General features: G+C 45.8%; 1 protein-coding gene across 1 annotated transcript in view, besides 7 other annotated features; it reads left to right on the top strand.

The window, feature by feature from the left end:
* Nucleotides 1583-2082: an enhancer, noted in NCBI's record as "H3K4me1 hESC enhancer chr3:53080907-53081406 (GRCh37/hg19 assembly coordinates)". NCBI's record gives its function as "activates a minimal SCP1, AML or CMV promoter by ChIP-STARR-seq in naive H9 embryonic stem cells {active_cell/tissue: H9 hESC(naive)}" and the evidence as "EXISTENCE:reporter gene assay evidence [ECO:0000049][PMID:30033119]".
* Nucleotides 2083-2584: an enhancer, noted in NCBI's record as "H3K4me1 hESC enhancer chr3:53080405-53080906 (GRCh37/hg19 assembly coordinates)". NCBI's record gives its function as "activates a minimal SCP1, AML or CMV promoter by ChIP-STARR-seq in naive H9 embryonic stem cells {active_cell/tissue: H9 hESC(naive)}" and the evidence as "EXISTENCE:reporter gene assay evidence [ECO:0000049][PMID:30033119]".
* Nucleotides 2572-2681: a silencer, noted in NCBI's record as "silent region_14458". NCBI's record gives its function as "represses an Ori minimal core promoter by ATAC-STARR-seq in GM12878 lymphoblastoid cells {active_cell/tissue: GM12878}" and the evidence as "EXISTENCE:reporter gene assay evidence [ECO:0000049][PMID:35858748]".
* Nucleotides 2732-3051: a silencer, noted in NCBI's record as "silent region_14457". NCBI's record gives its function as "represses an Ori minimal core promoter by ATAC-STARR-seq in GM12878 lymphoblastoid cells {active_cell/tissue: GM12878}" and the evidence as "EXISTENCE:reporter gene assay evidence [ECO:0000049][PMID:35858748]".
* SFMBT1 (Scm like with four mbt domains 1) overlaps nt 2900-16847 on the top strand; it is a 142502-nt gene continuing 128554 nt past the window's right edge. Inside the window, exon 1 of the mRNA NM_016329.4 lies at nt 2900-3157. The gene's annotated coding sequence lies outside the window, so the exon portion shown is untranslated. The remainder of the gene's footprint in view (nt 3158-16847) is intronic.
* Nucleotides 3152-3211: a silencer, noted in NCBI's record as "silent region_14456". NCBI's record gives its function as "represses an Ori minimal core promoter by ATAC-STARR-seq in GM12878 lymphoblastoid cells {active_cell/tissue: GM12878}" and the evidence as "EXISTENCE:reporter gene assay evidence [ECO:0000049][PMID:35858748]".
* Nucleotides 3572-3861: a silencer, noted in NCBI's record as "silent region_14455". NCBI's record gives its function as "represses an Ori minimal core promoter by ATAC-STARR-seq in GM12878 lymphoblastoid cells {active_cell/tissue: GM12878}" and the evidence as "EXISTENCE:reporter gene assay evidence [ECO:0000049][PMID:35858748]".
* Nucleotides 11898-12067: an enhancer, noted in NCBI's record as "experimental_70686 CRE fragment used in MPRA reporter constructs". NCBI's record gives its function as "activates a minimal promoter by MPRAs in K562 erythroleukemia cells, with activity observed for the introgressed 3:53071007 variant allele {active_cell/tissue: K562}" and the evidence as "EXISTENCE:reporter gene assay evidence [ECO:0000049][PMID:34662402]".

Raw genomic sequence — 16847 nt, 5'->3', positions numbered from 1 at the left:
GATAGATAAGTTGCCAAGGTCACAGGGCTGGTTGTTGAACCTGGATGGTCCGTCCTCAAAGCCAGTCCTCTTAACCCTTATATGATTATCCTAGGATGTGTAGAGACACATAAACCAGTGTGGATATCAACTGATAATCTGAAAAAAGAAGACCTCATAAGGGCATGAGAGGGAATCAAGCCTTTTCATATGTTAGAACCTATTCCAAAGAACCAATATTTAGATTCATATGGTATTTGCTCAAACTGAGGTCTAAGGAAGGAAATGGAGAATTCAGAAATATATTAATCAAAATAGAAAGTCTAGCGTAAAAGTAGATTTTACTAAACAAAGGAATTTTTTTTTTTTTTGAGTTGGAGTCTCGCTTTGTCGCCCAGGCTGGAGTGCAGTGGCGCGATCTCAGCTCACTGCAAGCTCGGCCTCCCAGATTCACGCCATTCTCCTGCCTCAGCCTCCGGAGTAGCTGGGACTACAGGCGCCCGCCACCATGCCTGGCTAATTTTTTTGTATTTTTAGTAGAGACGGGGTTTCACTGTGTTAGCCAGGATGGTCTCAATCTCCTGACCTCGTGATCTACCCGTCTCGGCCTCCCAAAGTGCTGGGATTATAGGCGTGAGCCATGGCGCCCGGCCTTTTTTTTTTTTTTTGAGATGGAGTCTTGCTCTGTCACCCAGGTGGAGTGCACTGGCACAATCACGGCTCACTGCAGCCTAAAACTCCTGGCCTGAAGTGATCCTCCTGCCTCAACCTCCCAAAATGCTAGGACTACAGGTGTAAGTCACCACGTCTGGTCAATAATTATTTAATAAATGGTAACTGCAGAATTAATAACAACCGATGACAGTGGTAGTGAGTTATGTCCATATTTTACTCCAAATAAATAAGCCAAAATAAAATCGGGATAGTCATCAGAGAATGAAATATGAAATGAAATTGTACAAAACTAGCAGAAAAAAGACTATCAGATGGGCAGCAGAAAGCTCACTTTGTCAGCACTGAAGCAATTAAAACATTAGAATGACACACTGAACATTAGAATAAAACAAGAAAGAACAACAGGCTAGAAAATATTTGCATCAATGACGACAAAGAAGTAATATCTGTAACATAAAAAAATGCTTGTTCAAAGTTAGAAGAGGTTCAAGTCCCCAGAAGATGGATATGAATAGATTATTCACAGGAGAGGGAATGCATATAGTAAATGCATGGAAAAACATTCATTTTTGAATGTTGTGTCACCTAAGAAATGCTAAGTAACCTTGAACTAGCAATAGACTATTAAAGTAGGGGGGAAATGGCACTCAATGTTTATAAGTGTGTTAAACTCCTTACACTTGTTCCTTGGAGGCGGTAGAATAATTGGGGCAGCTCTTGGGAAAAATATGACGCTGTAAGCCAAGACCACTTGGCCATTCATAGCCTTCTACCTGGGAGCCTTTCCACTCCCAGGTATTTGTCCCAAGTGCAGAATTCAAGGATACGTTAGCAAACAACCGTAAAGAACCAAAAACATTAGGGGGCTGAGTGAATAGTTAAGGACACCTGCACACCTTAAAAATGAATCGTGAACAAATAAAAATGGTAGTGAAAGTAGTAACAAAAAAAGTGTGGTTGCAACTATACACAGTATATATATGTTTCATGTCGTGAAAAGTTGCATTTCTTTGTAACAATATGGATTACTGTATTCTTTTTAGATTTTTCTTTCTCCGGTTGTCATATTGTTTTTTCAGTGGTGCTAAAAAAAATCTGGATTCAAATCCAGCCAGCAGCGTGACTTTGAGCAAGTTTGTGAAGTGGGATATTTCTCAGAGCGGTTGAGGGAGGTGGCTTGAGCTCGCACCTGGCACACGGTGAGAACCCCAGACTTTCTTCTTGCTGTGGGGGCGCCTCTGGGCCCTGTCCGATAACGCCTTTCACGGCCTGGGAGTCTGATCGGGAGCTCCCGGGTCTCGGTGGCGCGGGAACTCCCTTCTGGAGGGAACTTTCCGGAGCAGGTGGGCGGGTGTATGTCCCACGGGCACCTGCGCTCAGGAGGAGGGGGCGAGCTCGGGCAACGTAACCGCCCACGGTCACCTCGGGCTGCGGGGCCGACTTGAAGCCGCCTTCGAGGTTCTGATCCTTCCCGGGGCTCTGGGCTCGTTCGTCCCAATTCGCAGCTGTCCTGTGCCCCCTCGCTGCAGGAAGACTCAAGATTTACAGGGCGCCTCCTGCGGAAGCCTAGAGACATCGGGGGCGCCGAAGGGCCCGCGCCGGACTTCGCAGACAGGGGGCACTTGGGTGCCCTTTCAGGTCTCAGAGGGAGCGCCCGATCCCCGACGAGGGGCAGGCAAACGGGCGCAGTGCCCGCGGCGGCGGCACGCGCGCATCTGGGATCCGGCCGCTTCTCCGCTCATGCCATCTTGTCCGAGCCAGTCACGTGCGGGCGACAGCGGCGCGCTTCGCCGGGCCGGTACTCCAGGTCCGACCCGCGAACCCCTCTGGGATCCCCGCCGCTCTGTCTACAACCCGAGGTGAGGCGCAGGCTGGATCGGGGCTGGGCCAGGGCGGGCACTGGGTTCCCGGGGACGCGTCTCCTCTTCCGGGCCGTTCCGCTCGGGGCCACAGCGCCGTCGGGGGCCCGAGGCGCCGCCGCGTGTCCTGCGCCACGGCCTCGGGGCCGTCCGCGCCGAGTTGCTGGCTGGGGGCGTGGGTGGCCCGCGGCGCCGGACCCCCGGCACACCAGCCCGCGGAGTCCTTGCCTCCCGCGCGGCCCCAGCCAGGAGGGATGGCGCTGGGGCGGGAGCGGGGCAGCCGGGCCCGGGAGCTCCACGGGCGCGGCGCGAGGGGCGCAGGCTGCCTGGAGGACCGCGGAGCTGGGGGTGGGGGGGCGCGGGCGCATGCGCCCTGCGTCCGTGCCATATTGGAATGAGTCGGAGCGCGGAGCGCCGCCGCCGCCTCCGCCGGAGCGCGGGTGGAGGGGGGCGGGGAGAGCTGCCGGCCGCCCCGCTCCGCCGAACCCAGCAGGAAGGAGGGCGCGAGCGGGCGAGCGCGGGCAGCACGGGAGGAAAAAGCTTCCGCGCGGGGGAGCGAAAAGACGGAAAGAAAGAAAGAAAACGAGCGCGAGAGGGGGAAAAGCGAGCGATCGAGCGAGCGCGCGCGCGAAAACTCCGGGCAGGTAAAAAAGCGGGGCCACCGGCTGGGCCTTCCCGCGCGGCGGCCTGGAGGGGCGGCGGCGGCGCCGGGGCGGGGGACCGTACGGCGTCCCCTTCGAAGCGGCCGCGCAACTTTGCCAACGGGAAACCGCCGGGCGCCGGCGGGCGCGCGGGCTGAGGCGCCAACGGGCGGCGGCGGCGGCACGTTGGGGGCGGGGGCGGGGCGGGGGGAGCGCGGCGCCCGCGCGCGGCCCCGCGGTCCCGCGCGCCGGCCGGCCGGCTGCAGGGGCGCGCCTGGGCGCCTCGCCGCGGCGGAGAGCGGCGGCGGCCGTCAGCCCCTGGCAGGCAGCGCGGCGCGCGTCAGCCCGCGGGAGGCGTGAAAGGAAAGTGGCCGGGCGGCGGCAGTGGCGGGCGCCCAAGTTCCCCGGCGCGCCGGGCCCGCCGCGCGCCCCTCCCCGCGCGCGCCCCGCGCTCCGCCCGCCGAGCCCCCGCGGACCCGCCCCCCGGGCTCGCTCCGGGCGGGGCGCGAACCCGCAGCTGGGGCCGGGCGCGCGGCCGGTCGGAACTTCGGAGGGCCCGGGCGGTCGCTGCGCGGTGGCGGAGCGTCTAGTGGCCGCCGCAACCGGTGGCTCCGGGCCGCCGTTGTGAAGTGAGCGGGCCTCTCCCGCGCCGCGGCCCGCCGGGCACCGCCGCTGGACCCCGCGCCGACCCGGCAGCGCCCCGACCTGCCGCTCGGGAGGTCCGCGACCGTTTCGATTTCTGTTCCTAAAGTCCGATTTTGGACGCTGAAAAGGAGGCTGTGGAGGGGCGAGCGGCGTCCTGGGAAGCAAGGCCTGCTCTGTGCGGAGCAGAAACGCCTTGTGCGAACAGAAATAAATTCCCGCGGAAAGGATGTACGTTATGCTAAGTTTTTCACAAGATGTCAGCTGTTCCCGTAGGGTCTAAAACTAAGCCGGCAGGCACAGGTCACCCCCAGAGCTTGTGCTCAAGGAGTGGTGGACGCTTGGGTCAGGTGGGGGTGTTCCCAGCGGGTCGCCCGAAGCAGCACTGGTTGATGGTCCCAAGTGGTGTTTTTGAGTCCTGTTAGCAGTGATCTGTGTTTGAGAACCAAGTAACCATCAAAGAGATTCGAAAGGAAGTAAGATGGATTTTGTCAATCCCTGCGTATGTCTTCTCTTGAACCACATTTTCTAAGATGTCATTCTTAATTTTATTGCATCTGGGTAAAATGCCTGAACGTGTAATCATTAATTTGTCAACTGGCGAGAGGATGAAGGAAGATGTGTCTTCATGTGTACACTTTGAGGCCTGTTGACTAGCGTTTTGAGGCATTTGTTGAATTAGGCCGTAGGTAGATTCGGAGTTAAGATTTGTTTGCGATGTCAGAAAAGTTACGGCCTGGTAGAAACGGCCAGAGATCAGGAAACAGTTCTGTTATTACCGTTGTCATTGACTAACTGCCTTATCTTGGGCACATTTCTTACCCATTGTAGCTTTGATTTTCCTTATTTGCAACATTAAGATAAACAGATGATGTTTGGGGGTGCTTTCAGTTCGAAAATTCGGTGGCTTTCTTAACTGAAAGATTCTTAGAAATCACAGTGTATATTTTGAGAGGTACTACATAAAAGTGCTCGCAATGTGTGTCTTTATTAAAATTCATTTGGAAAAAACATCTTGGTAGCTAGATCCAGAATGGTTTTATATGATTATTTGAATAGATTTTTAACAATGTATTTTTATGGAGGTATGTATAACCTACCGAAAGATCTTAAGGGTACAATTCAATGACTTTTTATATATGTATATGCCCTGATAACCACACTCAGATCAAGATATGGAACATTTTCAGGCCTTGTATCCTTTCCATTCAGTAAACACATTCCCCCTCCCCAAGGCAACCACAATTCTGACTTCTGTCACCACAGATGAGTTTTGCCTCAAAACAGGACCCTTTTGAGGGTTAAAGGGGCAATACTAACAAACTGAGGATAGCTTGTATGTAAACTTGGAGTTATGGCCGTGTTGGCCATGACCCTTTGCTTTTATAATGATTCTTAGGGTTTTTGTAATCCAGAATAACTTAAAATTCTGTCCTGAGGAACTTCTTAGAAGGTCACTTTTCAGTGGGGGCAATACTTTGCAGGTTACGATTGGTAGTTCTTGGGAGTCCTTATGTTCACAGACAATGGTATTAATCTATGACTTCCCATTTTTAGAATATAGGTACTATATATTTGTAGACAACAGATTTGAAGAATGAATCATGAATTTTCCTAACAAGTTAGAGTTTAAGGTGTCAGTAGATGAATCAGTTTCTTAATGCCTAGAATTTGCTGAGAAAATTGAATGAAAATTGGTTTCTTAAAGTTAAGTGAATTAAGAATGTGTGCGTAAAGCTTTAACAACCTTTTCAATGACAGCAGTTGACTTATATATACAGGATAGTCAGCTGGTTTATCAAATCATTTAAAGTGCAACAATGAAAGCAAAAACAAAAGGTTAACTAAAAATTATGTCAGGTGTGATTAAAAAAATCAGCATGACTAAGATACCTTTTTTTTTTTATTAACCCTCTTTCTAGGAAGGTGGACTTTTAAATATTCTCCACTGAAGCAAATGCTGCAACAATTTGCATTTCCTTCACCAATGTCGTCTTGTGCCTTTTCTTGTTCCTACTGTAAAGGAGATGGGTTAGATGTTGTAAGTGAATTCTTATTTTGTTAGTTCCTAACAAAGGCTTGTGTTTTTTACTGCAAAGATATCTGTGTGATAAAAGTTGGGAATGTTCTAAGGCCTGTGGTGTAGGGATCCATGGGGAATAGTCCACAAAGTTAAAAGGTTTTCTTTTGTGAAATGATTTCGCTGAATAATTCTGTCTTTCCCGTGTTAAGCTAGCCAGCCAACTGACTGACCAGCAACTAAGCTGGATTTGGTCACTCCACCCAAGATTCACAGCCTCATTAGCCAAGAGAGTAATTGATGACTTAGCTATTATTGATACATTGTTTCTTTTTGTGGCTCTTTTTAAATTTCTTGACTTTTATGTGATCAGATTGTTTAATTTAAAATCTATTACATTTTTAAGAGAAGCAACTAAAGAGATACACGAGAAACAAAATACACAATGAAAGGGAATTTCCTTTTTTTGCTGTTTTGTTGTAAACTCAGATTTTTCCTTTTAAAAATGATTGCTGGCTAGGCACAGTGGCTCACGCCTATAATCCCAGCACTTTGGGAGGCTAGGCAAGAGGATCGCTTGAGACCAGGAGTTCGAGGCCAGCCTGGATGAAAGAAAAGGGAGACCCTGTGTCTCCAAAAAAATAAAAAAATTAGCCAGGCGCGGTGGTGGGCACCTATAGTCCCAGCTCTTCAGGAGGCTGAGGTGGGAGGATCCTTTGAGCCCAGGAGTTCGAGGCTGCAGTGAGCTATGATTGCACTGCTGCACTCCAGCCTGGGTAACAGAGTGACACTGTCTCAAAAAACAAACCAACCAACCCAGTATGATTTGCCTATCCATAATCTTCCTGCTTCTGTAGTATACTTTTGCTTTCACAGTGATACCTAGACTGGGTTTAGCTGTGGAATGGTGGTGTAGCAGCAGGTATCATTTAACTCTAAAGTCTGTAGAAAAGATGAACTATACAAACTTCATTGGCTTTTTATTTTGGCGTCATGTTATGTTCACATTAAGTAAATAGATACAGTCCAAAAACCAAAAGGCCATTATTTAGGCAGACATTTTACATCTTTAATATTTTTAATGTTACATTTTTTCTCTTATAATTTTCCAAAATTTTGCTTTCTTGGATTATTTGGCTTATAACCAATATTTTGGAATAACATAAAATAAAAGAACTTGTAATGAGTAAATGATACAACTTCCTTATGGCAGAGTATTTTTCTTTTAGTATATAGCATTCGTTACCTAACTGGGATATTTTGTATTTGAAAATAATATTTCTGTATATACATAGTTATTAAATGGGATAAAAGTGTGTGGGGATTTTGGTTACTTGCGAGATTTTAAACCATTAGAGTTTGGGGAGTGGGATTTTGATAGGAGTCTCCCATTCTTCAGGGGATACTAACCTCATTGGAAAAGAATTTTTTTTTTTTTTTTTTTTTTTTTTTTTTTTTGAGACAGACTTTTACTCTTGTTGCCCAGGCTGGAGTGCAATGGCACGATCATGGCTCACTGCAACCTCTGCCTCCTGGGTTCAAGCAATTCTCCTGCCTCAGCCTCCCAAGTAGCTGGGATTATGGGCATGCACCACCATTCCTGGCTAATTTTGGTATTTTTAGTAAAGATGGGGTTTCACCATGTTGGTCAGGCTAGTCTTGAACTCCTGATCTCAGGTGATCCACCCTCCTTGGCCTCCCAAAGTGCTGGGATTACAGGCATGAGCCCCCGCGCCTCGCGGAAAATGATTTAAAATAGAAAGAATGTGGTCAGGTTGTTGCAGATTCATGTTTAAACTTTTCAAAAGGGGGAGGAAGGATAAGAACACTGACACATTATTAATAGAAAAATCATATGACTTCACTGCATAAGTCTTAATGATTTGATTGTAAACCTTTTCCTCTAACTCAGAGACACCTGAAAACGTGTATGTAATTATTCTTTCTTTTATTCAAGAGGATGTTTATAACCTTATTTAGTTCTCTTTTGTCTTCAGGCAGTCACTCAAGGAATTTATTTAAAAACAAAAAATAGGCCGGGCGCAGTGACTTACACCTGTAATCCCAGCATTTTGGGAGACCAAGGCAGGCAGATCTCTGGAGTCCAGGAGTTTGATACCAGCCTGGACAACATAGGGAAGCCCTGTCTCTACAAAAAAAAAAAAAAAAAAAAAAAAAAAAAAAAAAATTCAGGTGTCTTGGTGCATGCCTGTAGTCTCAGCTACTCGGGAGGCTGAGGCAGGTATATCTCTTGAGCCAGGGAGACAGACGTTGCAGTGGGCTGTGATCACACCCCTTCAGCCTGGTGACATAGCGAGACCCTGTCTCAAAAAAATAAATAAAAACAAAAAAAAAAGTAGTCTGTATATTGTGTGTTAAATGATGTGTTAAGTACCTGTTGAACTCTGTGGTTTGAACAGTTGAGTAACTTCAGTGAGCCAAGCATGTCACTATGCAGAGAGAGGCTATAAGGTGATATTTCCAACATGATGCACAGTACTGTGTGCATTGGGTCTTTTTTTTTTTTTTTAACTGGCATACTGGTCTGGTGCATTGGTTCTTTTTTGATGTTTTTGCTTAGTCTAGAGAAAGGTTAATTATTAAACTGATGTGGGGCAGATAGGGTTGTTAAGTGTCAGTATCTGTTTATCTGGGAAACTTGGGTTCTGTCTGAGATGGTATTTGGAGAGGATCTTAGATGAGAGTTGGAAGGTGGTTTGTTGGCAGTTGAAAGTGTGGGACAGTCACACATTTGGAATGACAACATGAGCTGGGATGAGAAATTTAGCAATTACTAAAATGCCTCAGGAGTTTTTCTTGCTGATATTCAATTTAAAGTGTTAGCCAACAAGTACTCAGATTTGAATTCCAAATTATTATTTTTTATACCCTGAAGAGTTTTTAAAAAAGCATTTGAGGTGGCTACTATGGAATATTTGCTCAGTAGTAAGGCTGCCCATGGGCTGCCACTGGTTCTTCATTTCTGTTCACATTAATTTGCTCCCCAGACTAGAGTGCTTTCCTGTCTCTCAGTTTTTTCTAGTGTTCTTTCTTAAGGATCGGTTCTTCTAAAATATGCTTTTTCTGTGTTAAAAATAGTATATGGTAATTTTGAATTGTAACTTTAAGATACCTTTTGGTCTCATTTTGACTTGCGTCATAAAATAACCCTCTTGGAGTGGTTAGATGGTGATCACACCAATGCACTTAGCATATTGCCTGTCTAGAACATAGTGATATATAATGAGGATATAAATTTTTATTATTAAAAATGTTTATATGTAACAAACCTGCGCATCCTGCACATGTATCCTGGAACTTAAATGAAATCAAATAAAAAAAAAGTATACCAAAATTAGCCAGGTGTGGTGGCGGACACCTGTAGTCCCAGCTGCTTGGGAAGCTGAGGCAGGAGAATTGCTTGAACCCAGGAGGTGGGGGTTGCAGTGAGCTGAGATGACATCACTGCACTCCAGCTTGGGCAACAGAGAGAGACTCTGTAAACGTATGGTTGTGGTAAGTTATATACATATAGCATGAATTGTACCATTTTAACCACTTTTACACGTACAGGTCAGTGGCATTAAGTACATTGACATTGTTGTGTAACCATTACCACCATCCATCTCTAGAACTTTTTTAATCTTCCCAGACTGGAACTCTGTACCCATGAAACAGGGATTCCCCAACTCCCCTCCTCCCACCCTAGACAACCACTGTTCTACTTTCTGTCTTTATGATTTTGACTATTCTAGGTACTTCATCTAAGTGGAATCATACAGTATTTATCCTTTTGTGATTGCCTTAATTCACTTAACATAATGTCTTTAAGGTTCATCCATGTTGTAGCATGTGTCAGAATTTTTTTTGAGGAAGTAAATTATTTGAAAGACTTCCACAGCAGGTAAAGTGGAGGTCAGGTCACAGAATACTGTTTGCTAGGATTTGTTTACCTCCCTTGGAAGAACTCCGTATGTGCCCAGCAGAGCCTAGAGAACCAGGTACCTTGTCCTTAGATACAGTTTGGGCACACTTGCTTATTCGAACAAAAGAAACAGAGCAGATTGTGACAGCAGGGTGGAAGACAAGGAGAACATAAAAGCAAAGGTTGCAGGAGTCCAGGGTAACATTGAGTAAGGAGTAAGGCCTTTTGGGTCTCAGGATGCCATCTTACTGTGTGATCACTGACATTCGTGGTGTGGGCCTGTGTCAAAGCATGTCGTCCAGAACAGTTAACCAAAAAAATATGTGTGTTCAGAATTGTAAATAAGCCTTCACCTATCTGAAAGGCATATTCAGTGACTCAATCCCCAGCTGTTCTGGTTAGTTGAGGTTTTGCCATATTTCACTCTTGTTTCTGTATTGATAGAAAACTAGTACGTGTTTAAAAAGGCTTAATGACTTACATAATAATGATACCACCTAATTAATGCTTTGTATTTTAGATTTGCTGTATCACTTTAATTCTGTATTTGTGAAATATAGATGTCCAATCCTGGTTGGAGAGAAAGCAGGTTTGACAGTTAAGGGTAATAGAGAGTTGAGCAGGTATGTACTTTCAGAATGGTTAAAGAGTTATATTTTCCTCCATTATTATTTTTAATGGCTGTATTAATGTAGTAAATGTGGGATGAGTTTCCTAATACTGTTTGTTACCGGGGGGAGGCCATCTCTTAATTACTGTCCTTTCTTCATGGCAAGGATGTTTTTGACTTTCTGGAAACCATTGAAGAATAGACAGTAAATGTCATGAAGCCTGATTTTTATTGTGCGTTGTGTTACTATTCAATTCTTAAGAATGGTTAGTTGTTTCCTAGAGTTAGTAAGGCTTTTCTGAGAAAGTATCAGTTTCTTTGGCATGATGTTGTCTAATAGAGCATAGAGCCACGGTAGTAAAAGTCAATGGTTAGGGGAGGAGATACAGGGTAGGAGACAGTTGTCTAAACTGGAGTGCCTGGGCTCAAGCACTTCTCCTGCCTCAGCCTCCTGAGTAGCTAGGACTACAGGTGCATGCCCCAGCACCTGGCTAATTTTTTAAAACATTTTTTTTTTGAGACAAAGTTTTGCTCTTGTTGCCCAGGCTGGAGTGCAGCGGTGCAATCTTGGCCACCTCCGCCTCCTGGTTTCAAGTGATTCTACTACCTCAGCCTCCCGAGTAGCTGGGATTACAGGTGCCTGCCACCATGCCTGGCTAATTTTTTGTATTTTTTGGTAGAGACAGGGTTTCATCATGTTGGCCAGGCTGGTCTTGAACCCCTGACCTCAGGCGATCCATCCGCCTTGGCCTCCTAAAGTGCTGAGATTACAGGTGTGAGCCACTGCGCCGGGCCTTTAAAACATTTTTTGTAGAGATGGGGTCTCTCAGTGTTGTCCAACCTGGTCTCAAAACTTCTGGCCTCAAGTGATTCTCTAGCCTCAGCTTCCCAAAGTGCTGGGATTACAGGCATGAGCCACTATGCCCAGCCTGGTTTTCATTTTTATCATTGAGCAAAATGAGCAGGGTTGGGTGGTCTAGCTAAAGATAGAAATTTGAGAAACTTCGGGTGTATTATTGTTGTTATAGGTGTTTATGATGGTATTAAAACATCTGAATCCCTTGATCTCTTAATGTAATTAATATTAATTTAATTTTATTTCTCTTTTAATGTTGGCTTTCCAGTCCTCAATCAAGTTATAGTTGCACTTAAAAATACGTAGTTTTCTTTATCGTTAATATGAATAACACCATATGCAAATTGGGAAACAGGCTTAGATCTTCTCCTAGGCATTATCTGTACCCAGTTTTCCTGTAAGTATTCAATTGGGCTCCTCAATCAACAGAGAAGAGCTTCAAATGACTTTCTTTGTTGTCAGGCTCCATTCTCAGGAATGGCTATGACAAGGGAAGCAGAGGGCTGGGTGGTCTCTTCTGGCCTCCCCTTCTAGGGAGAGTCTTCCTTTTCTGCAGCAAGTGCTTGAGGAGGGCTGCATGATCCCGCAGCCAGTCAGGGCGGTAAGACACAACTGCCCTCACCCTAGCTCCTCTCCTAGCCATTGACTTTTACTCCTGTTTTTGGCTTTCTATTGACTTTGTCTGACAGGAGTGCTTTCCGGAATAGTGTGCTGGTGAAATGTTGGGTTCTCTACAGCCTCCTTCAGAGGATTCCCTGTTCTCCCTATGCCTCGTCTTTTATCTCATTGTGACCTTCATTTTCTCCCAGAGTCCCAGCCCCATCAGGCCTGGACCCACTGTCTAATCTTTGAGCTGCTCCCTAGCCAATCCACTTTGTTCTTTCCCTCTTTCCCTTCTGTGGCCCCGTAAGCCACCTGCAGCCTTCCAGCCAGTGCCTCTCTCTGCTCCTGGATATAGACTACCTTGGAGGAGAATTCAGGTTCTCCAGAAAGACCTGTCTTGAGGCAGACCTTTCTGTCTTTGCCTTCTGTAACCTTTTAAGACCTTCCCTTCTTTCTATTTACATCTCTCTCAATGAAGTTGTCCACATTTAGAGTTTGTCTAGCTCCTGTGCTCCTCTAAGACCCCTACATCCCTGCCCGTTGGGCTTCCAAGTTGGGTGCCACACTGGCATCTCAGAATCCACAGGTCCAAAATAGAATTTCTCCTTCTACCCCAAAGACGCCAGTCCTCTAGTGGGCCTGTTTGCCCAGGTCTCTTTCTTTACATTGCTCCTCAGCGATGGTGTTTGTTTTGTCCACTGGGAGCTTTCCTGTGGGACTTGAGGTCTTATTCTTCAATTGCCAGCCTTGGAGTTAGAACGTACAGTTCTGACTCCTTGGTTTTCAAGTGTTTTTAAAGTTGTGGAACCCTTTGTTCAAATGAAATCTTTCTAGGAAGCCCGATAAGTAAAATAAAATGAGAGTCCTCCTAGTGGAGTAGGGGTGAAGGGCCAGCATCCTGTCCCACGGCAGGATAGCTGGACATTCTCTGCTTCCCTCTCCTCCCAGGCAGGACTGGCGGCTGGCTCTTGGGGCAGCCTTCCCAGTGGATTCTGCATAAATGGAGCTCCTCAGAGTTGCTGTCAGCACTGCTTTGAGGGCATGCTCTATGTTTTAAACCATTTTATCTATTCTGTACCCCACTTCCTTCCTTTGGAAATTTAAATTTTGATTGTGACTGATAAATGTAAAACTAGTGCCAGTGATGAACCTTGCCAAGGAAAAGGAAAGACACCTTGGAAAGTGAAACTAGATATTAAAAAGAGCTTCATCAAATGCTGAGACTGTCAAAAATGCTGAAGGGCTCCTTTCAAAATTTACTTACGTCTCTGGCCGGGTGCGGTTGCTCACGCCTGTAATCCCAGTATTTTGGGAGGCTGAGGTGGGCGGATCACTTGAGGCCAGGAGTTTGAGACCAGCCTGGCCAAAATAGTGAAACCCCATCAATTTTAATAAAAAATTAGCTGGGCGTGGTGACATGTGCCTGTAATCCCAGCTACTGGGGAGGCTGAGGCAGGAGAATCACTTGAACCTGGCAAGTGGGGGTTTCAGTGAGATGAGATGGCACCACTGCACTCCAGCCTGGGCAACAGAGTGAGACTCCATTTAAAAAAAATTTACTTAAGTCTCTGCTGACTCTTTTGAAAGTTGCTATTCTACCAACATGAACATTTTCAAGATAAACTTTGTTTAGTTTTACTGTTTTTGTTTTGTTCATTTATCAATGTAGTAGGCTTATTCAACCCATAAAACTAAAATGTTACATATTAGCAGTGAAAAATACAAACCTTGTTCTGTTGCTTCCAAATGGTCTCCCTACCTTCCCCACCTCTCCCATCCATCCAGCTACACTGAGGCCAAGTAGAGCTTTCTAAACAAACTTGATTTTAGTCACATAAAATCCCACATTTGGCCGGGTAAAGTCCAAACTCCTCAGGAAGGCATGCGGAATCCTTGAAGCACTGAGGCCAAGTAGAGCTTTCTAAACAAACTTGATTTTAGTCACATAAAATCCCACATTTGGCCGGGTAAAGTCCAAACTCCTCAGGAAGGCATGCGGAATCCTTGAAGCACTCAGGCCCAGTCCATTTGTCCAGCTTATTCCCTTCTCTCATGGCCTCTGCAGCCTCACCAACCCACTCTCCTGTAAATCCTTTCCTGCCATGTTCCATCCGCTTAGGGTGTTGTTCTGCTAAGGCAGTGCTCCCAAAATGTCAGTCTCACATGGACCGCTGTCACACTTTTTGGTATATTTGATTACCAAAATTATTATTATCATTATTTTGAGACAGAGTCTCGCTCTGTCGCCCAGACTGGAGTGCAGTGGCTCGATCTTGGCTCATTGCAGCCTCTGCCTCCAGGGTTCAAGCAGTTTTCCTGCCTCAGCCTCCCAAGTAGCTGGGATTACAGGCACGTGCCACCACGCCTGGCTAATTTTTTATATTTTTAGTAGCGATGGGGGTTTCTCCGTGTTGGCCAAGCTGGTCTCGAACTCGTGATCTCAAGTGATCTGCCCGCCTCAGCCTCCCAAAATGCTGGGTTTATAGGCATGAGCCACTATGCCTGGCCCACAATTATTCTTTTAATATGTTTTTAATTTTTATTTATTTTTTAAATTTATTTTTAATTAATTAATTTATTTATTTTTTGAAACAGACTGTTGTCACCCAGGCTGGAGTACAGTGGTGCGATCTTGGCTCACTGCAACCTCCGCCTCCTGGTTCAAGTGATTCTCCTGCCTCAGCCTCCTGAGCAACTGGGATTATAGACAGGCACGCACCACCACACCCAGCTAATTTTTGTATTTTTAGTAGAGATGGGATTTCACCATGTTGGTCAGGCTGGTCTCAAACTCCTGACCTCAAGTGATCTGCCCGCCTGGGCCTCCCACAGTGTTGGGATTATACGCATGAGCTACCATGCCCGTGCCAGTGATGAATCTTGCCAAGGAAAGATTCCTTAACTTAAATTTTATAAAGTATTATTACATTTTAAAAATGTCAAAATGCAATGCAAGTAATAAATCTAACCAGTTTATTAAAACACATTCCTTCAATAAAATTTCAACAAAGTCCTTTGTATTTAAAAAGAAGTACCTGATAATAGATGATATTAAGGAATTGTTGATTTTTTTTTTTTTTTTTTTTTTTTTGGAGACAGAGTTTTGCTCTTGTTGCCCAGGCTGGAGTGCAATGGCGCCATCTCGGCTCACCGCAACCTCCGCCTCCTGGGTTCAAGCAGTTCTCCTGCCTCAGCCTCCCAAGTAGCTGGGATTACAGGCATGCGCCACCACACCCCGCTAATTTTTTTATTTTTAGTAGAGACAGGGTTTCTCCATGTTGATCAGGCTGGTCTCGAGCTCCTGACCTCAGGTGACCCGCCTGCCTTGGCCTCTCAAACTGCTGGGATTACAGGCGTGAGCCACTGCGCCAGGGTGATTTTTTTTTTTTTTTTGTCTTTTTTGGTGTGATAATGGCATTGTAGTTATACATAAAGGAGAATGTGCTTATTCTTGGGAGATGCAAGCTGAAGAGTTTAGAGGGTGAGGTATGATATCCTCAGCATTTTCAGATGGCTCATAAAATACGTGTGTGTGTATAAATCTTTGTGTATATAGAAAGATAATTAGGAAATTTAAAATTTTTGAATCTAAGTAGAGAGTATTTGGAATTTTTTCAAAATCTCTTTCAAAATTTTGATAAAAGCTTGTAGTTGAGGGGGGTAAAAATGGCTGCAAAAAAAGTTAGTATTAAAAAAATGTTGGGCCGGGCGCGGCGGCTCACACCTGCAGTCCCAGCACTTTGGGAGGCCGAGGCGGGTGGATCACTTGAGGTCAGGCATTTGAGACCAGCCTGGCCAACATGGTGAAACCCCGTCTCTACTAAAAATACAAAAGTTAGCTGGGCGTGGTGATGTGTGCCTGTAATCCCAGCTACTTGGGAGGCTGAGGCAGGAGAATTGCCGGAACCTGGGAGGCGGAGACTGCAGTGAGCCGAGATTGCGCCACTGCACTCCAGCCTGGGCGACAGAGCAAGACTCCATCTCAAAAAAAAAAAAGCAAATTTTATTAAAAAATTTTGTAGAAGCAGGGTCTTGCTCTGTTGCCCAGGCTGGTCTCAAACTCCTGGCCTCAAACGATCCTCCTACCTCAGCTTCCCAGAGCACTGGGATTATAGGCATGAGCTCTTGCACCTGGCCCATAAATACTTCAAAAGGCAGAGTCTTTGGTAGGCCCCAAATTTTCTTGTATTCTATCAGAGGCTTAGGTGTGGGGGGAATGTTCTGCTAAAGAAATCCCTGTTTGTCCTTTAAGGCCCAGGGCTTCTGTGAAGCCTTCCCTCCTGGACTCCCTCAGGTTGCATTAACCACCCTTTGCTCTGGGCACTCACAGCATTCCACATATTCCACTGTTGTAAATATTACAATTGTGATTGTTTGTTCAGTGTTTCTCATCTCTACTAAACTGTGAACTCAAGGTCAGAGATGCTGTTTTATTCCTAGTTAGTACCTTGCACACAACCTAGCACAGAGTAGACACTAAATAAATTATAGCTGAATGAATGCATGGAAGCAATACTGCAACATATCCACTTATAATGTTATTCCTATTTGAAAATGTATTATGTTCTAAACAAGAAATGATTATGTTTAATGAGATCTCATCTTGTCATTTCCAGGCTTAGAGGCTGCCAGTGGCTTTCCATCGTAATTAGAATAAAATCCAAACTTCTTGTGTGGCCTACAATACTTTGTTTCTTGTTCCCTGCCCACCTCTACCACTTTTCCACTTGCTTTCCCATATGGGTCTTCTGTCCATCCCAAGGATATCAATTTTTATTTATTTTTATTTTTCTGAGACAGGGTCTCGCTCTGTCACCCAGGCTGGAGTGCAGGGGTGTGATCCCGGCTCACTGCAGCCTCCGCCTCCTGGGCTCAAGAGATCCTCCCACATCAGCCTCCCAAGTAGCTGGAACCATAGGCATGTACCACCATGCTCAGCTACCTTTTATATTTTTAGTAGAGATAGGGTTTTGCCATGTTGTCCAGGCTGGTCTTGAACCCCTGACCTCAAACATTCCACTCGCCTTGGGCTCTGAA

Source organism: Homo sapiens, chromosome 3 (assembly GCF_000001405.40).
Source record: "Homo sapiens chromosome 3, GRCh38.p14 Primary Assembly".
Classification (NCBI taxonomy): Eukaryota; Metazoa; Chordata; class Mammalia; order Primates; family Hominidae; genus Homo; species Homo sapiens.
Note: the sequence above shows the minus strand (reverse complement) of the source record. Positions and strands in the feature narration are given on the sequence as shown.